The sequence below is a fragment of the Homo sapiens genome, chromosome 4 (assembly GCF_000001405.40).
Source record: "Homo sapiens chromosome 4, GRCh38.p14 Primary Assembly".
Taxonomy (NCBI): domain Eukaryota; kingdom Metazoa; phylum Chordata; class Mammalia; order Primates; family Hominidae; genus Homo; species Homo sapiens.
Window position 1 is genome coordinate 114,716,852 of NC_000004.12, and position 26,583 is coordinate 114,743,434.

General features: G+C 36.9%; 2 long non-coding RNA genes across 3 annotated transcripts; one reads left to right on the forward strand and one right to left on the reverse strand.

Annotated features, from left to right (window-relative positions):
- Nucleotides 1-20,269, reverse strand: LOC124900763 (uncharacterized). Its single transcript, XR_007058238.1, has 5 exons — nt 20,233-20,269; nt 19,692-19,775; nt 14,881-14,979; nt 873-945; nt 1-67 (listed from the first exon to the last, which is right to left on the reverse strand). It is a non-coding gene; the product is annotated as an uncharacterized LOC124900763 (long non-coding RNA).
- LOC105377382 (uncharacterized) lies at nt 6,627-26,583 on the forward strand. Of its 2 annotated transcripts, none has more exons than XR_001741795.2 (3): nt 6,627-10,219; nt 10,585-10,716; nt 25,967-26,583. It is a non-coding gene; the product is annotated as an uncharacterized LOC105377382 (long non-coding RNA). The 2 variants fall into 2 exon arrangements; XR_939095.3 differs by lacking the exon at nt 25,967-26,583 and having other exon boundaries at nt 7,280-8,216; nt 10,098-10,219; nt 10,585-15,129.

A 26,583-nucleotide genomic window follows, 5' to 3' on the forward strand; every position in this document is an offset into this window, starting at 1 on the left:
GTCAATTTAGTCTTTTGTAGAAGTTTCTCGACACTTTTCTCGAGGTCTTCTATGACTGCATAGAAATCTTTGTTTCCACAGATGAATTCCAAATGTGAGAGAAAATAATTTGGAAAAATGTAATTATGTTTTATTTCAGATCCAATATCAACAATGGAACACAACTTACACAAAAAGCTTAATTTCCACTGGGTTGGTTCATGTATGACTCACTTGTATGATTTTTAAGAATCTTCTACTTTAAAATCTATCATAATAGTTAACAAAATTGAAAATCAAGAATATGAATCAGATGTATTGCAGTAACTGAATTCTCAACAGGTTTTATTTTTATTATACCACACTGTGTAGATGCAGTGACAGAAACATAGATTTAAAGTAAATAGCTCATTTTCTTTGTATTGAAAATGCCTTAAAGATAATATTGTTATCAGATTAATTCTGTTTACACATCTGAATCTATTTCTGGATAATATGATCAGAATTAATTACAAAAAGACAACCAGAGTGGACCACAATGCTATGAGTTTATCACTTCAGTCCTCTATATGTTCCTGTTTTCATTTTTTTTAGTACATACTTTCTTAATACATGGTACAGAACTCTTATTAAGTGTTCTATTTTAGATTACCTTTAAATTACAGCTGTCATTTTTTTCTGTATTTGTGAAGATCAATAAACTAATAGATACCTGACAATAGACCTAGTTGTCTCTATCTTTTGCACCTATGATTAAATTCTTACAAGCTATAACTTCCAAATTTTACATGATTATTTGAAATGTCAGCATTTTAAGCAAACATAAACTTAAATCTGAGAGATTAGCTCAGCTAAGCCATGTACTTACTACAATAAAGCCATAAAACACACACCTGGAATTACAGTTTCCCAGCATCTACTATTGCCTATTGCCAGCAGTTGAATATGTACAGAATATCAGCAGCCCTGAGGTGAAAAGGAGTACAGTGTTTGGTATCAAATCCATCTGATGCTAGTACATGAGAAGCCTTTACTTTTCCCCCCAAACACACCTTTTTAAAAAGATAAAAAATGATTAGAACAAACAAGTCAGCCTCAGTTGCTTTATGTTTGTTCCTACTCTAAATATTACTACTCTGGGGAAGCTATACCATAACACACAAATGTAAAAATATAAGGCTAGCCATGGTAGAGTCATAAGGTTACTATTATTATTTGAAATGTTAAAGTGGCTTTAAAAACTGATAAAACAGAAATCACAGTAATACTCAACAGTCAACATAAAGCATACTATTTCTGGCTCTAAAGGGTCAATGCACTAACGCTGCTGGATGTTGAGTAGCATCCTCTATATTTTGTATCAGGGAAAATAGAAAAAAGTTAGATCATTTTTCTACTTCTAAGTGGAATAGCAAAGAATCATTATAAAGTCTCTGATACAAAGTAGTACTTCAGATAGGTGAAGGTTGGTATTAAATTTCACAGCCTGATTTTCACATTCTTGTTTAAGCCTTAATTACTTGTTGTACTCAAGTTTTCAAACTATTTTAATTCATGATCTTTTCTATTACAGCACTTCCAGACTTCCCCTCAAATCTTGCCTTGTCAATCTGATATAGAAACTAAAAACTACAAACTTAACAATTATTAAACTCAACTCTTTAAAACGTTCTTGCCCCCAAAAGGATCTGACCTGCAACTGATCCACATTCTCTTGGTCAGTAATACCACCTTTTGCTCAGGAACCCGAGCCATACCTAAATCACCCTTCCCATCTTATTCCTCTCCGTTTACTTCAGCCAGTAAGTCCTAACGCCTTGTCTGTCTCCTAAAAATCTCTTTTATAAGTTTCTTTCGTCTTGTTCTATCAGTGGTTTTATTCAGGATCTTGTTATCTTTTTTCTAGAACTAGCATCCTAATTAGGCTTACTATATTTAGTATCTCTCTAATTTTACCCCTTTTCTTCCCCCAAACTTGTGTTTCTGAAAATAATTTGATCTTTTCACTATTCTGTTTGAAAAGCTCCATTAAATCCTTACTATATACAGGATAGTATAAAAATTTCTGAATTTGGCTCATGAGATCTTTTATAAGGAAGCCCCATGTTGCTTTTCTTATACTTCCTTGTCTTAGTCTCTTTAGGCTGCTATAAAATTACCATAGACTAGCTAGCTTATACACAACAGAAAATTATTTCTCACAGTGCTAGACTGAGAAGTCCAAGATCAAGTCTCCAACATACTGAGTGTCTAGTGGGAGCTCACTTCCTTTTTCATAGAAGGCCATCTTCTCACTATAACTTCACATGGAGGAAGGGGCAAGAGATTTCTCTAGGGTCTCTTTTATAAGGTCCCAAATCTCATTTATGAGGTCTCCATCCTCATGACCAAATCACCTTCCAGAGTCCCATATGAAAATACCACCACACTGGGGACTATATTTCAACATATGAAATTTGGAGGGACACAAACCTCTTTTCTATAGCATGCACCCTTTCATTATCTTATAATCCAGCCATACTGGATCACCAGTATTCCCAGAAATTACCAAGTTTATCCATACATTTGATAATCTTCTTGGAATAAGAGACTAAAGAGGAAGTATAGCTCAGTGTTGAGGACCACAAGTTTTGGAATGAATTCAAATGGAGGCCTTGAGTCTCTGCTTTGCAATTTACTAGTATTGAGACCTGGTCAAGTTACCTAAAATAATCAAGATCCAAGTTCCAGTTTCTCATCTATAAAATGAAGATTATATCACTCTTTTCAGGATTGATATGAAGATTATCTATCTATCTATCTATCTATCTATCTATCTATCTATCTATGAGATTATCTATATATAAATATGATATTCACACAATAACTGGAAAATACTAAATAATATATGGTACTTATTTAACTATGACTGTTATTACTACTATTACTATTTCTACTACTGCTGTAGTTCCTTTTGTGTTTAGTTGCTACATGTTTTGAAATTCTCAGCAACAAATATTTGTTTTTCTGAAAGTGTACTTGGTTATTAGAAACAACTGAAAGTGATTTAGGCTACTTTATTTTTAAATGGGTGATAAAATTTTATAATATTATTTTGATCTAAAATGAGATTTAATTATGAAAAAATATCCTGATAAGCCAGGTTGGATGATTAACTTTGAAAACAACTTCAACAGATCATTTTAAAAGTATTTAGAGAAACATCAACATTTTGATGTAGTTGTATGGTTAGGATGAATATTAATTATCCAAACACTTTTTGGAATGAAAGAGGAATTAATAATTACTATGCAGAGACAATAAGAATAAATGAGAGTAGTTGCTGGAAAAGCTCCCTCTCCCCCCCAAGTTAGTTCAATTTATTTTTATCTTGAGTGAGATTGAAAAAGTTGGGTTGCAAAACGTTGAATGTAGAGAGGTCTAACATTAAAATAAACACTGAAGTCAGTCGCTGTCCTGTAGATAAAGCTAAACTTACCTTTGCTAGATATTATGATATATGTGACAAATGTAACCAGAATATTAAAACCATAATTATCAATTATTTATTCATAGATAATTTAATTTTAATGAGGTAGAGGAGTAGTTTGGATATTTTTAAAGTGTGGTCACGACAAAGCTGGTCATAGGCAAGTTATAACACACCCAGCTGCCCAAAAGTCCTTTGGGCTTTTGAGACAATAAAGAAATTTCAGGGTTACCTTTAATATTTGTGTGAAGATAAGAAGACACACGTCAAGTTAAAGGAGTTACTGAGTGTTCTTTGGAGGAAATGAGATGATGAGTATTAAAAAAACTAAATAGGCATAGTGTTAAAAGGTTGTCGTCACTATTGGGGAGAATTTAAAACAGAATCCTCTTTTCTCTTTGACATCTAGTTTCGTATGTATTTTACAACTTTTTACAAGAAAGATGACATAAATTTTTTTTTCTCTGTTTGCTTAGCTGGCATTCAGTAGTCTGCACATCAACAGGAAAGAAAAAATGCGAGGAAAGTCGTTTATCTGCTAAAGAAACACATTCCTGATAGTATTCACCTGCTAAAAATCTCACATGCATTTTAATAAGGTGGGGGTAGTAAATCTCCTATGTTTTTATCACCAGCTTTATTGCATACTCATTAGGTGTGCACTATGTGTAGAATACTCCACTAAGCACTAGATTTCAAAAGTTTGCAGAGCTTTTTCACAGAAGATATTGGGCAGTAACTTTAGATGTTATGAAATGTGACTATGCTTACCCAGCCATAGAGAACAGCTTCATGAAAGAAAAACTCAGTCTGTTTTGCCTGAGTTAATAGACTCTTCCAGTGTTTGTACATGGATTATTTTTCTTATAATTTTTTCTGCATTTTCATGTTGTCATCCCTAGATCCTATGTCTAGACCACAATCCTGTACCTTCGATTTATGTTACTTTGTCCTGACATTTTAAACTAGATTCTGACTTTATGCTGCAGTTGACATAAAAACTCAATACTGTTTGAAGACCATCCCATATTCCCTCTGGATTTCACTGATAATTCACCTGGAGAGGGGAACTGACATTTCTAGAAATGCTACATCACAGAGACATAGAATTTCACAAAAATAAACTACAAGATTAGAAACTGGGAAAGGACAAAGATAGTGGATTAGAGGCTCTTAATGTGCCTCAGCCACCTGGAAATATTACAAATTCATCCAAAAATATTTATTGACCACCTACAATGTGCCCAACATCATTGAACATGTTGGGAATAGAGCAATCAAATGAGAAATGAAGTTTCTTCTCACAAGCTGCTTGCATTTTAGTATATGTTGAAATACAGACAATGCACTGGATATATATAATACACTTATCAAATAGTGGTGTGTTCTGTAGAAAAATAAAGCAGAACAATGAGGCTGGGGTATTATGGGCATGATTGGAGGTACTATGTCTTGCAGGGAGGCACAAATGCCACTCAGATAAGGTGTGGTTTGTGCAGAGACATGAAGAAAATGAGGGGCCTGAGGGATAGGTTGGGGAAGAACATTCCAGGTAAAGAAAACACCACTGCAAAGGCCCCAGTGCAGAGGTGCAGTTACTGTTTTCTTTCTTTTTCTCTTTTCCTTTTTTCTTTTCTTTTTTTCTTTCTTTCTTTTTTCTTTCTTTCTTTCTTTCTTTCTTTTCTCTTTCTTTCCTTCTTTCTTTCTTTCTTTCTTTTTTTTTTTTTTGACAGAGTCTTGCTCTGTTGCCCAGGCTGGAGTGCAGTGGCGCCATCTCGGTTCACTGGGAGGCTCACCTCCGCCTCCCAGGTTCAAGCGATTCTCCTGCCTCAGCCTCTTGAGTAGCTGGGACTACAGGTGCCCGCCACCACGCCCGGCTAATTTTTGTATTTTTAGTAGAGACGGGGTTTCATCCTGTTAGCCAGGATGGTCTCGAACTCCTGACCTTGTGATCCACCCGCCTCAGCCTCCCAAAGTACTGGGATTACAGGCATGAGCCACTGTGCCCAGCAGTTGCTGTTTTCAAAGAATAATAAGAGCAGTTAGAGTCCAACAAACATTATGGAAAATATGAAGAAATAAGGTTAGAGGTTGGCAAAGGCAGACTGTCCCCAGTCTGCAGGCCATATTAGGAATTGTGGTCTTTATTGTCTGAAATACAAAACCATTATGCATTTACAGCAGAAAGGGGATATGGCCTGATTTCCTTCTTCAAGGATTACTCTGGCTGTGTGTGGAGGATATGCCATAGAAACGACAAAATTGACAACCAAGACACTAGTCCTGAAACTATCTGAATACGTCATATGAGAGATGATAGGATTTGGATTGGGTAGGAATGATAAACATGGTGAGAAGTATTGAAATTCTGAGTATCTCTTAAACGTAGAGGCGGTAGGATTTGTAGATAAATGATCTGTTGGCAATAAGATTGAGGGGTTCAGTTTGATTCTAAGTAACTGGTAATATAAGGTTGTCATTTATTTATTAAGAGGAAAAAGCATATGTTTGTGTGAGTGAGGTGTGTGTGTGCACCTGTATAAAATATCAAGTTCAGTTTTAGATATAATATGTTTAGAGTTGCAATTAGACAGTCAAGTCAAGAGGTGAGTAGGAGCTGGACACATTTGTTTGGAGTTCACATGAGTTTAGTGCTAGAGTGTAAATTTGGGAATCCTCAGCATCTAGATGGTATTTAAAGCCCTGGATGTGGATGAGGTCACTTTGTAGTGAGTAAAGGGGGAGAAGTTCAAGGCCTGAGCATGGGAGCATTCTGAGATCTAGAGGTTGAGAGGGTGGGATGCAGCAAGAAAGAGACTGTGAAGAAAGGGCTAATGAAGTAGACGTAAGATAGAAAAGAAAGTACTAACCATGTCACATGGTTTATCTGCTTAGAGATCTAGTAAGATGTATGCTAAGAAAATATCAGCTGGGCACGGTGGCTCATGCCTGTAATCCCAGCACTTTGAGAGGCTGAAGTGGGAGGATCCCTTGAGCCCAGGAATTTGAGACCAACCTGGGCAATGTGGCAAAACCCCATCTCTACCAAAAACCCCACAAAAATTAGCCTGGCATGGTAATGAGTGCCTGTGGTCCCAGTTACTTGGGAGGCTGAGGTGGAAGGATCACTTTAGCCCTGGAGTCAGAGATTGCAGTGAGCCAAGATCATGTCACTGCACTCCAGACTGGGTAACAGAGTGTGACCCTGTCTCAAAAAAAAAAAAGTAAGATAAATAAAGAAAAGTAATTATCATTAGATCATTGGCTGTGGCAACAAGGAGTTCACTGGCGAGAGTGGCAAGGGCTATTCCAGTGGGAGACCTGGCCAAAGGCTTACTTGAGTGGACTGAGTAAGGTCATGGAGAAGATGAAGGAATGATTTCAAACATGTAAACTGAAAAGATTGGCTATTACTTATTGAGTGCTTAGGATATCTAAGCATCTCTCGAAGGACTTTATATGAATTTACTTTATATGAGGAAGTTATGTGTATTAGCTACAATTTGTAGACAAGGAAACTGAGTTAACAGAAAGCCTATATTACTTGTATGATAACATATAGTAAGTGATGTGATGGAGCAGGGATTTTTTTTTTTTTTCGGAGTCTCCCTCTATTGTCCAGGCTGGAGTGCAGTGGTGTGATCTTGGCTCACTGCAACCTTCGCCTCCCGGGTTCAAGCAATTTTCCTGTCTCAGCCTCCCAAGTAGCTGAGACTACAGGCGCCTGCCACCACACCCGGCTAATTTTTGTATTTTTATTTTTAGTAGAGATGGGGTTTCACCTTGTTGGTGAGGCTGGTCTCAAATTCCTGGCCTCAGGTGATCCACCTGCCTTGGCCTCCCAAAGTGCTGGTATTACAGGCGTGAGCCACCACGCCTGGCCGGAGCAGGGATTTTTAACCCAAGGAGTCTAACTTTAGGAATCTGGCTCTTAATCCCTATGTTATAGCAGAAGACTCTCTACAATTAGTTCCATAACTTCCTGATACTAAGACTACAAAAATGAAATGTTCCTTTTCATAGGGATAACATCGATGATGATACTTCCATCAAAATTTTCTGCAACCATTTTTCTTGCAGTTGACACTTATCTTCACCTTTCTTTTTCTGGTGGAAGGAAACAGGGAAAGTGGGATGCTATGGTTTGAATGTGTCTCCTCCAAAATTCAGGTGTTCTCAATGTGATAGTATTAAGAGGTGGGCTTTTAGGAAGTGATTAGGTTATCTACATTCCACTGTCATGAATGGAATTAAGACCCTCATAAAAGACGCTTCACACAACATTTGGCCCTTTTGCCCTCCTCCCTTCTGCCATGTGAGAACACAGTGTTATCCACTGTGGAGGACACAGCAACAAGACACCATCATGGGAGCAGAGAGCAGCTCTCATGGGACACCAAATTCCAGCACCTCGATCTTCGACTTTTCAGCCTCCCAGAACTGTGAGAATATATTACCAGTTACAGGTATTTTCTTATAGTGGCACAAACTAAGGCAGGAAGTAATATAACAGAAAATGGTAAAATAATATAGACATGAATGATGAAGTTTAGATAAAGATACAAACATTTAATAATCTTATGGCTTTCTTCTACTAAAAACAAAACACTAAAAAAAATTTCCAGTTTAGATTAATTATGGAAGGAAATAAAAAATGCACTGAAAATATTTATGATTACTACTGTTACAGGATCTCTTTGGGGTGTGGATTTTCTGGCCAGAAGCCTCTGTGGCTGTGGCACCTTGGCCTGCATCCAGGAAGAATGAGGTACAAAGACAAGTGAAGAATGAACAAGAGGAAGATGAGCTTTATTGAGTGTTTGTACAGCTAAGAGGAGACGCGCAGTGGCAGTGGGTGGCTCCCTTCTGTAGGCAGGTCATTCACCCGGTGTTCGGTTCTCAGCAAAGAGAAGGCCCTGGAGAGAGTGGCTTCTCTCTGCTCACTGGTCATCCCAATCGATGTCTGCAGCTCTCAGCAGAGAGGAGGCCCGGAAGAGGGTGAGGCCCTGGAGAGGGTGGCTCCTCTCTGCCTGCAGGTCATCTCTGCAGCTCTCAGCAGAGAGGGTAGCTCCTCTCTGCAACTGGTTGTTCCATCCTCTCTCTGCCCTTTTCTTCTCTGGCCATCCTCTCCTGTGCTCTGGCTGAGTCCAGAACTTTTATGGATCTCAGAGGGGAGGAAGTGCCTGTGGAATCATCCATGCGCAGCCACAGGCTGGCGGGAAGAGGCACCACGAGCCCCCACTCCAGTCCATGGGACTGGCAGCCTGCCCCCACCCTTCAGGCCCTCTCTGGCCTGAAGGTGAGGCCTTACTGGGGACCCACCCTTTTCCACCCAGGAATCAGTCCCCTTTTCCATCCAAGAATCAGTCTGCCTCCCGCTGCCATTCATGGCCCCTAGGGATTGGCCCCAACCCCTGCTCTGAGATTGGAGCACACTCCAGGAGTGGAGAGAGGCCAGGCAGCGGAAGCAGACACCCACGAAGCCTGCTCGGAGGATTAGGGGTGTCCTTCTTGGGTCCCCTAAGGGTTCAGGCTGCAGAGATGCCAGGGTCTTGCGCCTGGGAGGGTGGCTTCAGCTGCACCCAGGAGGGCAGATCCTGCCTGCTCCTGGCCCCCTCCAAGAGCAGACGGAGGCTCAGACCCACAGCTGCAGTTTGGGTGGGGTTCCTGCCTGTTCCATAGAGCAGGAGCCCTGGGTCTGCAGCCACAGCTTGGGTGGCAGCAGCGGCATCCAGGGAGCTCCTGCCCCAACTCAGAAGGGACAGGGCTCCCACCAGCTCCATGGAGTGTGCAGCCCCAGCACACCTCCCTGCTGCAGCTGGTACCACTGCCATCACTATGTCCCAGGCATCATGGATACCAAGTACCAGGACAAAGTCATCATTCCCTTAAAGCTTATAATCTAGTGAAAGCAGAAAAAATTAAAATATTATAACACAGTGTGACATTTTGTTGAATATTACGTTAGTGCAGGTGCAGGTACAATGGGAACACCAAACTGAAGGCCTAATCTGATCCAGACCTGGGAAGATTTCCCTCAGCAAGCATTGTGTAATTTGAGATAAGCGGAACATATGGACTGTTAGATATATACTCTGTAAAACTCTCAATGGTTAGCCTTTAGATAGATACATGTATAGATTAGGGTGAGCAAACCCATGGGCCAAATCTGGTCTTCCAGTTTTTTGTAAACAAAGTTTTACTGAATACAGCTTTGGTCATGAAATTACATATTACTACTTTGTCAACACAGTGGCTGAGCTTAGTGTCTATATGACATACAAAACAGAAAATATTTGTTATCTGGCCCTTTATAGAAAAAAATTGCCAACTCTTGATATAAATAATTTACTTGTTGCATGTATAAATTATTATAATTAATGTTTTCAAGGAATATTTGTAAATATTTGTCATTAAATTATTATATTTAAAGTATTTTTAAATTAGTTTATCAAATGAATTTTTTTTTAATTTAAAAAACATGGAAACACTGAGTGAGCTTTTTATAAGGCAATTATCAACTAGTGCTTATTAGCTGTGGCCCCCTTAAGATGGGATGAGCTTTCCAGGTCATCACTGCCCCGCCAGTCCTTGTTTTTCCTATATGTGACTCTGTCACTCATTTATATTATTTTTCTGGACCCTCTAGGATTTGAGTTTTGACCCAATGAAAGTGAATCCAAGATGAAGTCTGTCTTTCTAAGCAAATGCCAGGAAAGATAATCAATGGAAGTTCAAAGATGAAAATACAGGCTGTTGTCAGAGGATCTGGTATATGCAAATTATTCTTTTTGTATATTCTAACAAAAACTTTTAAAAATTTAAAAATTTTAAAATATTATCATTTTTATTATCTGTTTCAGAGAATTATAGGGACTGAAATGGGAGGCTTTTATCTAAGAACAAAGGAAACTCAAAAGTTTCCCAGGAAAGATAAAGAGATAGATATTTTATTTGTTCTCGAACTTCCACAGAGGCAGAAAAATATTGCCTCCATGAAAGAACAATGTAGGAAGTTAGCGAGAACACATCTAAATTAAGTTCCACTCTAATAAAGATGATAGTTCCCATGACCAATACTGTCTTTGTAATTTTACCATTGTCTGTTACATTGTCTCCTCTATGTTTCCTTCTAGCTGTTTCAGAGAATAAAGAGTTAAGGAAGGGACAAAAAAAATCACATTCCATTCTGTAGTGGACTAGAGGAAAAGTGTCCAGCTGGGAGAAGAATGGCTGCAGAGAAGGAAGCAGAAAGATGAGCTGAGAGAGTAAGTGGGGTGTTAGAAGTCAACATGGGATAACAAAACCATCTGGGGTTTGGATCACTACAGGAGGCTCTACATTGCATTGTGCATGAACAACAACAAGAGTAAATTTTGCTGACTCTGAGCTTGAGGTAAGCTCCTTAAAGTCTCTGTGGAGAAAGAGAGGCCCCAGAGTGTGGGCTGGAGATTAACTGATCCCAGATGCAAAGAAAATTACAAAAGCATAGGACATTGTGCATTTCTTTGATAAGCCGAATGTTTGGCATTTAAATTGTATCATCTGAGGTGTTGCAGAAGATATGATTCCTTTATCAAATCAAATACAAGTAAATGGATATCCCTAAAATTGTAACTTAAAGTAATGCGCTAAGACACAAGTATCCAGAGTTCACTTGAGCCTAGAAACCTAAGATAATGTTCTTTTGGAAAATGTAAATAACAGCTAATTGGGGAGATAAAGAAAGGAATTGTAAGAGTCAAGTCATATTTTTAAATCTGTGAATAGGCTAATGTGTAATTTTTTTAGAACTGCTTTATTCCCTATGTCGAGATAAGAGTGTTAATGCAGATTCACGTGAGAGATTTCCAAGATTTAGTTACTTTTACTTTATTAAGAAGTATTAAGATGTTCCATGATTCTTGCTGATTTTGTGCCTTGTTTCCTTATCCTTTTATTTCGTCTTCTCATCTTTTACTTTTTTGTATTTTTTCACCTCTTAGTGTAAGAAAGTAGACAGGATATGGAATAATTTGGCAAATTAGTTGACAGAGCAGGAGGTGCGTGGAAAAACCAAACCAAACCTAGTCTGGTTATTTCCTCTTCACTTTATCTTTTATATTAAGTTGAACTTTATGAAACTACTGATGCTTTAATGGTTTTGACCTATTAAAAAAAACAAATTCATTTGGTTCAACCTACTCAAAAATGCACCATGTCATTCCTCTTCCCAAGACAATTTCAGTTACTTCCTGTGGCTACCAATTAAAATCCAGACTCCTTAGCCTAGCTGTTCAAGAGGACTCATCAACAGGGCACAGTACTTTTCTACCACAATTCTCTAATCCAGTTAAGTTGGCCCCACTTGAAATCCACTTCCTTTAGAAGGCTTCACAGCTTAATGCAGTAACTGATTCTTTCCTTCCCCACGCTCCTAGCATTGTGTATACACGTATGCTGTAGTATACAATGCACAATTAATCATGTGCTTATCTTTTGGTCTTGCAGTACTCTGGAACATGCTATCTCAAATGCTTCTACTTTAATCACAAATTAAAATACAAACTGCTTATGGACAGAGCCATATCTATAAGCATTTAAAAAAAATCTCTCTCCATCTATTCTAATATCTTACAGCACAATTGGAATTTAATTATTTTTGGCTTTTTTGTCAATTTATTTTTGTTGCAGTTGATTAATCAAGATTTAGAGAACCCTGCCCAAATTGATATATTCTGGGGAATTTGAAAAATATAAAGCTATTATGTGGGCAGCTTCTTTTGCTAATTTATGCCTTTTTTATATACTTTAAGAAAAGATTATTTAAAGTCCCTATACTTTGTTAGAATCCAGATTCCAAACTTCAAATTTAGTTGTTTTTGTTCAATGATCTTAAGTTCAAGGGAATTGTGGTCAAGTGTGAGAAGTGCATTTGTACTTGTGAGAGCATCTCAGCCTACCATGGAAAGAATCCTTTCACATAAATTATGCAAACTGTCTAAAAGAAGAAAATTAAACCACACCTCATACAAACACTGAGCTCAAGGAAAAGAGGCTCTGTGGGGGAAAGGTAATTTTAGGCAACCCACTGAATAACTTTTCTGTGTGTGACAGTGGGACGGATGCACAGGGTACAGGGGCTGCCATGTGGTAGGTAGGGACTGCTGCAGAGCTGGCAGAGGCCCCAGGGTGTGACTGGCAGGGGCTGTCTTGCAGCAGCTGGGAGCAACAGCAGGTGGCCATGGTGAGCGTATGGCTGGCAGGAAGATGGCCATACAGCTGGCAGGGGAAACTGTGAAGCAGTAACCTGGCTGGGGCTGCTGTCAGCAATCCCAACCAGGTACCGACCCTGCTTAGAGCTCTGTGAGAAACAAGGGTTGATATCACCTGATTCTAAAAATAGTCAGCAAGGCCACATGAATTGGCAAAACAGAATATTTCATGTATGTGTTGAATGACCTTCTTTGCCATGAGTACCTATTACTGGTTATTTTCATGGCATCTTGATTTTTTCCTTTGAAAAAAAATACCAGGAAACTACAACCATTAGCAGCCTAAGGACAATTTTCACCGATAGAGACCCTTGAATCTATCCCTGTAAATGCCTAATTAAATGTTACGTATCAACCAGTAATAAGCCAGGGAAGCATCTGGCTCTTTTAACAAAGGTTTAGGATGGCAATGCTCAAAGGTAACTTTCATTTTTATAGAAACAAGGTTGTAATCTAATAATAAAGAAAGGTCACCTTTGCTGGAAATTCACATTTGTGCTTTGCAATTGTTTTAATCCAAAGTATATCCAAATGAAAGAACATTAGGGCAGCCAAGGTTAGCATTGGGCTGCTCTGGTACACACAAACACACACACACATCCCTTCTGAATGTACCCAGTGATTTGCAAAATGTTATGTGAAGAACAGTACAATCTAATAGCCGAACAAAGAGCTGAGCAAAAAGCACAGTTAGAGAATGCTTTGCCTTTATTGTGCTTGATACCATCCACAAAAATTTCCTTTTAAAACATTCATTTTTAGCAATAGGGTGTGGATTAGGAACCCTCGTGTTGGTGGTGAAGGGAACCATAGCACAATCCAGAGTTTAAGAACATGAAACTATTACTCTGAAGAATAACAGCAGCACTATTTTTAAAAGAATTATTTTTCTCTTTATGTCTTCATTTTTCACCATTTTCTCTAGTTTTTTTTTTTAATGTATTTGATGTCACCTTAACACTATCACTAAAATTTTAAGCGAGCTCTTCATGATAATAACACTCAGCCCCATTTCAAACAGCAAGTAACTCCTAATATAGTTTTTTTGTGAGAAGCAAAGTTTTGGGTGTGTGAATATGATGAGCAGGGATTTGGGTACATTTTGCAAAAGAGGGCATCTTTCTCATTTCTGGCTCTGCTGGCAATTGAAGTCACTTTACCTGCTTTGTGTTTTAATTTATTCCCCAAGAGAATGAAGGATATTCTAACATAATATTCCTCTACTATATTCTTAGGACTGATAATATGTAAAACTAGAACTTTCAAATTATCATGGGCTCCTTTAAACTAGGTTTATAAAATTAAATAGCCCATTTTTCTAATACTTTTTATACCACTCAGTAAATAATATATAGCTATAAGATTTTCCTGCTTTAAACTTAATCTACCATTTTTATTACTGTGTCAGTTATAGACCTGAATATATAAATATGCTTATTTTAGTTTAAAATAACAATTATTTGGTTGCATTCATGCTAGAAGAATATTGAAAAAATGTGGAGACAATTGCCAGATGTTTACTGCTAATTGCAATTTTTGTTAAAGCAATGTTATTTTATTTAATGTCTTAGGAAGTCCTAAGCAATGCTCACCGCTGAATGATGCGTTGCAATATCTACAAGTTCCCCCCCACGCGCCACCCCTTCTAACTGTAAGAATAGCAGCTTTCTAACATTACTACTTTGGAGAAAAAAAAATGCCTCTTAAAACTATGTTGTATTTATAAAATGGTTCTTTATAAAATCTTTTCAGAGAAATAGCTTTGAAAAATTAAATGAACTGGATTTTGATTATTTCATGGGTCTCTTTTTGTGTACAAGATATGCAAAACTGTTCCTGTGAGAACTCAGGATCAGGATGACAAAGGGCCTTCAAAAGAGTAAATAGCATTAAAGTTGATGACTTGGAGTCAGGGAATCCTGAACTGGAAACCCAACTCTTCTTACTCTCTGTGCACCTCTGAGAATTCTTAACCTCACCTACACAATTATCACTGACAAAATGGAGCGGATAATAGAAGCCTCATTACAGGGATATTGTGACAGTTCAATGATGTAATTAATGGAAGGACTTAGCCTAAAAGCTCACAAACAGTGACACAAGAAAAGAACTGGGCAGCAGTGCTAGGAACCACATCCTTTTCTTCTAAGCCTATGGCTCGTTCCCACATTACAGTACCTGGCTTTTATCTTTAGGAATTCCAGTTTCACTTTTCTCAGCTGATGTAGGCTGCTCATTAGTATTTCTGGAAATAATAGTTTCAATGGAGGCAATTCCCTGAGAAACAAAATGAAAGAAAGCAAACAAATCAACAATCGCAATATATATAACAAATCTATGGAAAAAAATAAAGCTGTAACAAATAGTCTGCTTTGTTTTTCAGGAAATTTGCACCAAAATGATTTTTTTTCCCTGTTGCCCAGGCTGGAGCGCAGTGATATGATCTTGGCTCACTGCAACCTCCGCCTTGGGTTCAAGCGATTCTCCTGCCTCAGCCTCCCGAGTAGCTGGGATTACAGGCATGTACCACCACACCTGGCTAATTTTTTTGTATTTAGTAGAGACGGGGTTTCACCATGTTGGCCAGGCTAGTCTCGAACTCCTGACCTCAGGTGATCTGCCCACCTCGGCCTTCCAAAGTGCTGGGATTACAGGTGTGAGCCACCGCACTTAGCCATAATTTTTCTTAAATGTACTTTTCAGCTTCTTTTATAATTCCTATGGAGGACTAAAGATGACTTAGGCTATACTATAAAATGTAAATAGACTTTCCTGAGTCAAATTACAAATTCTTACTGGTTTCTTGCATTGTGATTAAGAAGAAATCTATTGAGTTCCTGCCACACCCTGGCTCTGATATTGTGTGCTGGGGATTAAGTGGTCAGCAGGACGGGACTTCTCTGCTGTCCTGCAGCTTGCAGTGAAGTGGTGGAGTCAGAGATGAATTGTGTAATCATGAGTCTGAAAAGTATGGGGAAGGGGAAAGACTAGATGATTTGGGGATGTAGCAAGGGAATTTACTCTAACTTAGCTTGGTCATATATTCTCTCTGGAGTAGGTAATATATGATTTCAACCCTAATAAAGAGACAAACTGCCTCAGAGACAGGTAGCTTTCTTCACTAGTAAAATAATTTTATTGAGCCTTTATCATAAAGAATTACTTTTAAAAAATTCACTGCTGTTATTGACAGATAATATTGGATTTTTTTTCTTTGCTATGCAGAATTGAATAATAACTGGTTTGATAACCAATTGTTATTGGCTAATAATGTGGTAGGTGCTTTACAGGATTTTAACACAAATTTGTGAAGTATTATTTTCATTTTGTAGATAGTGGAAACATGGTAGACATAGAATTAAAGAACGTTTCTAATGTCACACAGGTAGAAAGTGGTGGAGATGTGTTCCAGGTCTGGTACTCCCAACAATGAGAAGTCTGTAATCTCAGAACGATAGCACCCAGTCAGAGCAAGGGAATTTATTAGCAGGAGGCTATCATTTCCATTGTTCTATTCTTTAAAATAAATCTTCATGATGAATATAATAAAGATTAAATGGAATAAAAAATTTTAGGCTTTCAGATGAAAACAATGCTTGAGCTGGTTACTGAATGAGAAGATGAGAATGTGGACTCCACAAGGGCAAGGACCTTTGCTTGATTTATTCACTGGTGAACCTAAGTGCTTAGAACACTGCCTTCTGCTGAAAATTATTTGTTGAATTAACAAAATGACAAATGATAAAAATTAACCCAAAATGAAAGAATCATTTATCATTGTGAGGAGAAAAGATGCAGCACTTTTTTGTATTTGAAGTTTTGTTAACTTCTCTCAAAATTTTTTGAATCATGTGAGACATAGTATCAGACCAATTTAATTGGTAAAATTACAGATTTAGAAATTATATAAAGCCTTGATAAAGGATTTTGATTTATCACTCTCCTGCTAAAGAAAATGGGAAGAAAAGAAATTGCTTGATATGTAATGGGATAGGTTTACTTTTTAAGGGAAAATATGAAGATGGAGTAGAAAGTTGTGTCTACGAGTGGAAGAAATGACAATAATTTTAGGGATCAAGACACAGTTTTATAGGAATGCCTCTTCACACACACACACACATATATATATACACACACACACACACACACACATGTATATATATATATATATATATTAATATCTCTTTCCTGCACGAAAAATGTGAGGACCTGGGGAAGTTGCAGGAGCAATGAAGCAATCAGAACAATATACTTATCATGGAAAACTAATTAGAAACATACAAATAGTCCTGCTAAAGTGAAACATTACCATATATATAATATATACCATATATTTTATATATACATATATATACACACACACATATATATATATATATATATATATAAAATATTACCATGTCACACAGGTAGAAAGTGGTGGTATTAGTATATATATTTATTTTACATGTACTATATATTTTAAGACAGAGTGTCACTCCGTCACTCAGGCTGGAGTGCAGTGCAGTGGCATGGCCTCGACTCACAGCAACTTCCACCTCTTAGGCTCAAGCGATTCTCAGACCTCAGACTCCTGAGTAGCTGGGATTACACGCATGTGCCACCTTGCCCAGCTAATTTTTGTATTTTTAGTAGAGATGGGATTTTGTCATGTTGGCCAGGCTGGTCTCCAACTCCTAGCCTCAAGTGATTCACACACCTCGACCTCTCAAAGTGCTAGGAATATTATCATATTTTAAAGGAAATTATTAATTGCCATTAGAAAGCATGGTCCCAGATATTGCACCTATATTTATTTCATCACGATTCATTCAATAAATTATTATTTGTGACACCTAACATGTGCCAAACACTGATTCAGTCCCTTGAAATAGATCACTGAACATAATGGACAAAGGTTCCTGATCTTATGGAACTCATATTCTTAAAGAGGGAAACAATATACAATTAAAAAATAAGAAAACTATATAGAATTTAAAATATGTGTTGTAGAAAAAAGAAAAAGGAGGGTGGGATAAGGCGTACTGGGAGAGGTGGTGGGCAGGCAGTTACAATTTAAGTAAATTGGTCAGGGTAGACCTTAATGAGAAGATGATATTTAAGAAGAGGAAGAAGAAGAAAAACAAACACAGTGAGGAAGTTAGACATGCAAATATCTGGGAAGAGCATTCCAAGCAGTGGGAACAGATGGTGGGAGGTTCTTAACGCAGGAGCATGCCTGAAATGTTTGAGAAAGAGCAAGAGGCTGCAAGAGCAAGAGAGAGAACAGGGGGAGGTGAGGTTTGAGAGGAAGGACAGCCAGGTCATGACTGTGGCATTGTAAGGCCTCAGGCATTTATTGGGTGCAACCTAGGGAGACATTTGAAAGTCTTGTACAGAGTGATGGCATGAGCTGACCTATATTTTTAAAGGATTACTTTGTAGGGGTTCAGTAGTGAAAAAGAGAGAACTAGTGAGGAGACTTGGAGCTTTTAAGGCAAGAGGGGATGGTGGACAAGGGTGGTTGTGGTAGACATGGTGAGAAATGATCAGGATATGGGCATATTTTAATTTACTGATAAATTGGTTGTGAGAATTAACAGAAAGAGAAATTACTTTCAAAGAACTGATTTTAAGCTTCTGACATTAAATTAAATTTTGGTGAGCATGAAATGTAAAACCAGCATGAACTCTGCTGTGGTTTTAATGTGTCCCCCCCAAAAGCATGTATTGGAAACTTAATCTGCAATGCAGCAGTGTTGAGAGGTGGGGCCCGTTGGGAGGTGTTTAGGTCAGGAGGGGTCCACTCTCATGAACAGATTAATGCTGATTCGAAAAAGGCTCAAGTCTGGGAGTTTAAGCTCTTTGTCTCTCTTACCCTGTTTTTGCTCTTCTGCCATGGCCTTTGTCAAATGCTGGCCCTTCAATCTGGAGATTTGACTTCCCAACCTCCAGATCCATAAGCCAATAAATTTATGTTCATTATAAATTACCCAGTCTCAGGTATTCTGTTATAGCAGAACAAAATGGATTAGGACAACCACCTCACTTTATTGAGGAATTTTAATTTTAATGGAAATATTTTAAATAGTTTAATTATCTTGGATCATTGATTTCACCAGTGATTTTTTTAAAAACATTTTAATTGTATAAGGATAAATAGAGTATGCCTAGGATTTAAATCCTGGAGGTAGATTTGTATCAACTTTGGAATACGTTTTAAAAAGCATTAGATGTCAGATATTCATCCAGAACAATTGGCTGAGACTCTCTGAAGGTGGTGCCTGGATGCTAATATGTTTTAGTTGAAAAGTTCCCCTGGTGATTCTAATATGTAGCAGATTAGAAAGCTTGAAATATTGCTCATTTGTACTAAGTCAGGAGAAGAATTGCCCCCTGAAGGGGAAGAAGTCTGTAACTTGATCTTGGTATTCCAATAACATAAGTTTAATTTTTTCTGAATAATTTAAAGGCAAAGATTCAAGCACCCAAAATATTTTCTTTTCCACTTAGCTCTCATGCCCAGTAAGGGTAGCCATTTATAATAGCTTTTTAGCTAGAACTCCTAGAAATTAGTGCTTGCTCTCAGGAGATATACATATTAATTCTGAAAGTGATATTGATGCCAAGCCTAGCGTGAGGAAGGAAGCCATGTTAATCACATGGGTTTCAGCTCCATTAGAAACACCAGAGAGGGAGAGAAATTCCTTTTTGCCAAATGGAAAATGTCAAAAAATCAGCAGGGTAAAAAAGAACTGGATTTTCATGCTTCTAAGAAGGAGGAAAATATAAGCAAAATAGAGACTAAAAAAATGCAAGTTAATTCTCCTAAAGAAGTTAATTTGGTACATGTCCATCATTAATTCAAGGATATTACCCTTTTAAAATTACCATTTCTTTAAAATAAAAATGTCTTCTTTTGCTTCAAGCTTCTTCCAAATCATGTCGTCTCTCTACCTGCTGTTCCAAAATACTGGTCTAGGCTTGGTAAACCATGAATCTGTCCTTACCTGCTGGTTTAAGTCTTTGAATTGAGAGTCCTTCTGCTGTTATTCTTTCTACATCCGTCTGCTCACTGGCAATGTTAAAAGATGCTGTTAAAGGAAAAATACAGACAATAAGATCATTTTTGAAATATTTTTTGGAGCAGAATGCATTTTCCTTACTAAATTATATACGATACAGTCTTTGAAACCACACCTATTATATAAACAAGTTAAATCTTTAGTATGAACAGTCTTATTAAGGCTTGACAATCCAAATTTACACTGAGAAGTATAACTTCATAATAACGAAGACAAGGAAATCTAATCATATGAAATAAATGTTTGCTAGCAAAGTGGGTTATATGAGAACTGTTGTACAAAGAACCACAATGTATTACTATCCTTGAGGGAAAAAAATCAGGATAAACTTATACATATCCATAACATAAATATATAATACAATGACATATACAATATACATATACAATGTGATATATACACATTGACTTAGCTGAAAACTTTAATCATAGGAGAATATCATATGGCATTTGACTCTGATACATACGGGATATTGGAGAATACAACCAATAACACATGTGCTGAACAATATAACCCTCTCAGCAACTGAGATTTCCCAGGTATTCTAGAACACTCCTTTCACTGTATTCCTGAGCACCCAATAAATCACTTTTCTGCTTCCCTTAGACCGGTGTGGTGGCTCATGCTTGTAATCCCAGCACTTTGGGAGACCGAGGTGGGTGGATTGCCTGATCTCAGGAGTTCATGACCAGGCTAGGCAATATGATGAAACCTTATCTCTTCCAAAAATACAAAAATTAGCCGGGCATGGCGGTGTGCACCTGGGGTCCCAGCTACTCAGGAGGCTGAGGTGGGTGGATCACTGGAGCCCAAGAAGTGGAGGCTGCAGTGAGCTGCAATTGCACCACTGCACTCCAGCCTGAATGACAGAGTGAGACCTGATCTCAAAAACATTAATAAGTAAAAGTAAAAAATCTTCTTTACTTTTTCTTCCTTATTTATATATTATAGAAAGTGAATAAAATTGCAACATATAACATCAGGCTATGTTATCTAATAATACTCCATATAATACTATATTTAGCATAAAATTATCCGTAAGTGGAAAGCTCATCATATTTGAGGTATTAGGCTTCATTATACATATAGATCTGGAGGCAATAATTCATTTAACTTAAAACAAATTGTGCACTTGTGGTTTCAGCCAGCTTTGAATCCTACTTTGGCCACTTAACCTCCCTGTGCCTCAGTTTTACTACTTGTTAGATTGGGATAATAGTAGTACTTATTTAGAAGATTGGTGGGAGGAATAATTGATTTAATATATGTAGAATACTTAGAATAATGTCTGGCATAGAGTAAGTGCCTTATAGCTATAGGCTATTACAATGTATTTGCTATTATCAAAATTATTAGTTTGGTATTATGTAACATGATTCCCCAAAAGACCAGTTTTGACATTTCATAACAAAAGGGAAAAGAGTTAATTTAATTATTTAAAAGCTTTGCTTGTAGATAATATTGCATTACTTCTCCCACCCCTTGCTTAAGATCTAAAGAAATTAAGATACCACAGTAAGAAAGGAACATTAAATTAATAAACATATATACAGAATGTTCCATGGGTTTAAAATACAAGCTTGCTCCAAACTGCATATCTGGAAAATACCTATCAAAATCATTCAGAGAATTTGGCTCTTGGAATGTGATTCATTATAGTTCATTGACAAATAGTGGATAGCATTGCTTGGTTAAAGAAGTACAAAGATTATTTGAAATGCATTGACGGAAGTGTTCATAGAATGAAATGCATAAATAAAAATGAGGAGTATTGTCAGTTTCTCATTTACTGCATAGAAGAGATTTAGCTTTGATGACATACCTGATAGTTTAGAAAGCTCCAGTTCATATTGAAATTCAAACTCTTTTAAAAATAATTTTAATTAAAATTCAAAGGAGTCTAGGGAATTATATCATTAACCTTTTCCTGCTAGAATTTAAGGGATCACTTTTTAGGTCAACGTGAATAATGAGTTAGCTAGTCTCATCCAAATGTCCATTTATACAGCTCCCCAAGCCAAAAGCAGGATTATTAAATCATCAGCCATTTGGCAGTCTTTGCCAAAAGAAAAGTGCCAAATGGGGGTTTTAGGTCATGACTGTCTTCAATTGACGATGCTGCACGACAAATTTAGTGAAGCATTTTCTTGATTTAATTCATTGCTATCTGTACCTGACTCATTCAAAAAATTCTAGAAATAGTTAAAGGCCTGCCAAAGAAAGGAGTGAAACAGGTACAAAGAAGAAGATTGGGAACACAAAAATATATTCAAAAACATTTATCAGAGCTCTCTGTAATATGTTTGATTGCATCTGTGTTTGCACTTTGTGATTGAAAAATAGTTAAGGGAATAGTGGTAATCACTTGTCAGGTTATTGTGAAATTTCAAATTTGAAACAAACAAAAAAGGCAAAAGAAATTGAAAGAAGTGTGAGTGTTTGAGGAAGACTTCTTTATTGGGGTTGACATATTCCTAGATAGCACATAGGAAGTAACCTGAATAAAAGGCAAGAGGGAAAACAAGATTATGAGGAAGATAAAGACTATCAAAATCAGTGAAACTATGCTGGTGACCAGAAAAACTGATGGAGAAGATAAAGGAGAGAAGTTTGAACCAATAGTGCTATAAAGGCAAGTAAGTTTCTTTCCACCTCAGCACAACTAAGATATTTAATAGGAAATGCAGTCTTTGTTTCTCTGAACTGTACAGAGAATTTTCAGTCATTAGCAGATTTGAGGAAATCTGTCCCTGGCCCCAAGAAAAGCTGAGGCAATTGATGTCTCGGGACTCAAGTCTTTTGTGGACGGGCTATTGTGAAAAGGGTGGGGTATAGTCTTCCCATATTCAATATTGTTATTGTGGCAGAGTATCTGATGGCATTTTTGAAATTATCATCTTCCTGTTGATGTATATTGGGACAAATGCCACTGCCAGAGTACAATCTCTGAGAAACTATGAACTTCCAAGTAGAAAACTGAAAAGGGCTCGAAGATACAGCTGATTTTATCTTTTTTATAAAATGGAAGATAATCATGTTTCAAAAGAAAGAAAATTGGGAGTAAACAAATGGCTGCTGAGTAGAAGGACAGGGCATTTTTCTTTTACATGATTTAAGCATTAATAATGTGTCCCTTGATTTGGATTGAATTACTTGGAAAGGATAGAAAAAGTGACCCAGACACCTGACAATCTGATAGTAGGATTTTAACCTAAAAGTGGAGAGAGGAGAGAGAGAAAGAGAAACCCTTTAATTCAATGGAAAAAAAAAGGCCAGAATATGTAAATTATGAGAACTAAATTTTGTAGAGTACTTTTTATAGACTGCAACACTGTTAAGTATTATATGTTTTTTTTATGTATTAGATTGTTTAATCATCTCTACTTACTTATTGGATAGGTTTTTTCCTCTTTTATTTTTTCTTTTTAAAAATATTCACATATACAGGAAGAAAGTGGGGTCTGAAGAAATTAAGAAACATGATCAAGATCATACTGTTAGTAAAATCTTAAAGTCAGCAGTCTAACTCCCGAGCCCATGTACCTAAATACATGGATAGTACCTAAATACTATTCTCTCTTTCTGATATAGATATGTCACAATAAGAGGAGCAATAATAAAGTATCAAGCAATTCAGGTAAAAAATGTTGAAAATATTAACAGACATCCAAATAAGGTGATCATATAATAAAATAAAGGTAAAATTTACTTAGAGTTAATAATTTCCAGCCAGATGGAGAAAATGAATATACACTTTAAGGAAAAAAATGAAAATGAAAGTGACCAAAAATACACAAGTTTCTACAGTTATGGGATTTTCCAGTTATGTGGATCCATTTAGAAGACAAATTATAGAAGGATAGTAGTTGATCCCTTTATGACTGATTGTATTTGTCTGCTATGACCAGCATAACATGGCCACATAGATTGGTGTAAACAACCAAAATTTATTGTCTCATAGTTCTGGAGGCTAGAATTCCAAGATCAAGGAATTAGCAGGGTTGGTTTCTTCTGAGCACTATTGGAGACAATCTATTGCATTATTTTCTCCTAATTTCTGGTTGTTTGCTGGCAAACTTTGCTGTTCCCTGCTTGCAGATGCAAATTTCTCCTTCATCTTTACATGATGGTCTCTCTGTGCTTGTGTCTGTGTCCAAATTTCCCTTTTTTATAAGAACACTAGTTATAATGTGTAAGGGGCCTACTCTACTTCTGTATAATGACATCTTAACTAATTACATCTACAATGACACTATTTCCCAGTAAGGTCACATTTTGAGGTACTGGATGTTAAGACTTCAATATATACATTTCTGCTGGGACACAATTCAACCAATAAAAATGGACTTGAATAAAATTTTTATTTCTCAGAATGCAGAATAAGTTATAATTGGAAATACTACTCTGAACTTGATTGAGACCATCAACTAACGGTGTTTGCATATGTGTAGATATTGGAAGCAAATGGTTGCAACTAAAGAAGGGAACAACACATCACATGTGTAGTTGAATATTCAAGAAGGCAGATTTTAATAGGTAATATTAAAGATATTTATGGAATCTTCTGTCCTGGGACTTTAAAAGGAAAAGTGGCTTAGCAACGATTGATAACGCAAAAAAAAATTAAAAAATTATAATGGATCCCTACATTGAGGGTTAAAAGCTGGCATTGAGGAAGAGAGAAATATACTGGCATTGCTCTTTCTAGAAAGAGCTTTCTGAAGAACTCAAGTTTACAGCATACAGCACCAACTAACATTTAGATTCTGTTGATTTAAAGTAAAATTTGTCATGTACAAAACATGGAAATTGGATGATATGACCAAGAAGTAGTATTAACAGTTCTATAAACTTGTATAAATTATGTGAAGAAATCTATAACTGAATAAAATGTGGCTTCAACAAAAAATGTCAAAGGTACCCAAAGGCTTTTTTAAGGCATGTGAAGAGCAAGGAAGACAAAAGTATGAATAATTCTACCACTTGGGACAGATGGTATAATGTTAACAGAAAACAGGGGAAAACAGAAGACCTTCACTCATGTGGGATTTTTAGCTATTTTGTTATAGAAAACAACCCTTCAGCTACAGAGGGTAGAACACATATTGACAAGTGGGAATTGAACGTCAAGTGAAGTGATACAATTGATAGAGTAGACGTGGTGTTCCTCAGGATCCAGACACACTGTATTATAGGTTTCAAGGGAAACTGGGGAAGAGATGTCTACATGTCTGCTTCTAATACGTTTTCAAGACTTGTAGGAAATGAAAGAAATGATAAAAAAAATTGGGGGCAGAAAATAACATCCTGGTTTCTAACAAATAGAGGACAAAGAGTGGACTATCTGTATTGCAGATTAGTGAGTTTGAATTAATTCCATAGCAAGATCTATATGACAGGAATTTGACAAACTTTGGTTGTCCCATGTCTTATGGTTTTCCATGCTCTGGGGTTCTTAGAGAAATCATAAGGGACTGGGGTGAGGGTGAGGAAGGACTATCAGGAGAGGCAGAGTACCTGCACTAAGATCCCAATCAAAACATCAACATTTTCCTTTTTTCAGATAAGACTTTAGCTGAGGAGAAGGGTTCTATGATTTTTTTCAATTATGAAAAAACCCACCATATAATAGATTACTAAACCCTTGTTTTGTGAACACTTGGAGAGGATTTCAGTAAGCACCTCTACCTATAGTGATTTGAAGGAGGATCGATAATGAGAATTTTTCTTTCCCTTTTTTTATTTTCCTTCTCATTTTTTCTTCCTCTACCTTCCCTCCTCCATTCCTAATCCATCTTTTGCTTTTGTCTTTCTTCTTTACCTTTCCCATTCCTTTTCTTTTTCTAGCTTATTACGATTTTAAGGAAATTTTCTAAACATGTAGAATATTATTTCTTGTAAGACATTGACTGTAACTTTTGATAACCTTGTAGATGAGACAAAAGAATGGAAGATGAATGGCATTATAATTAGGTAAAATTGTAAGTAGTTGATTAATTGGATGCAAACTTTGAAAATTTAATAATGTAACATGGAAAGATATCTCAAGTAAAGTCCCAGAGCTCTATTCCCTTTATAGTAATACCCAACATTTTAAATTAATAACTATTTCAATTAATAAAGCATGCTGATCGAATTCATATACTTTACATGAAGCTGTGAATAATAACAAATTTATTTTTAACTTACTTCTTTTAAAGCTTCTCAGCAGGCTGGAATGGGACTATAACTGATATATCATGACCACACCAACTGAGGGTGTGGAGTAGGTCACCCATTGGGGATGGAAAAGGGAGGCTTCGGCCATGCCTGTGGAGAAGAAACCAAGTCAGTAATCTGCAAGAAGGCCCATCTGGTCACATGAAGGTCAATCTCATGGTCCCACAATAAAAGCCAACTTCAGAAGCCATTTATGCCAAGAGAGACTGTAAGGTACCTGCACCAGCTGGAGGAGCAGATGAAAGCGAAGAAGTGCTGCGCTACCACAATTATGCGAATGTGCACCCAACCATGAGCAATACTTTCATTCTGTTCTTGAGGCTCCCAGCTTCTGACACAAATGAGCTAGGGAAATTTAAAAATGGGAACAGATGAAGTAAGAGGGAAAGATTTTTGAGAATTGAAATAAGATCTGAAAGGAAGTTGTAAGCATTGATTGAAATATTAATACATTAATTGCATTAGACCATCAGCTCAATGTATGTTTTGATCCATAAATGGCCATGACTATAAGTGGCAAGATTAAGTAGTCACTGTCAATAGGATTAAAATCCCATAGGGAAGTTTAATTTTGCTAAATAAAAAAGAAACCCCTCTC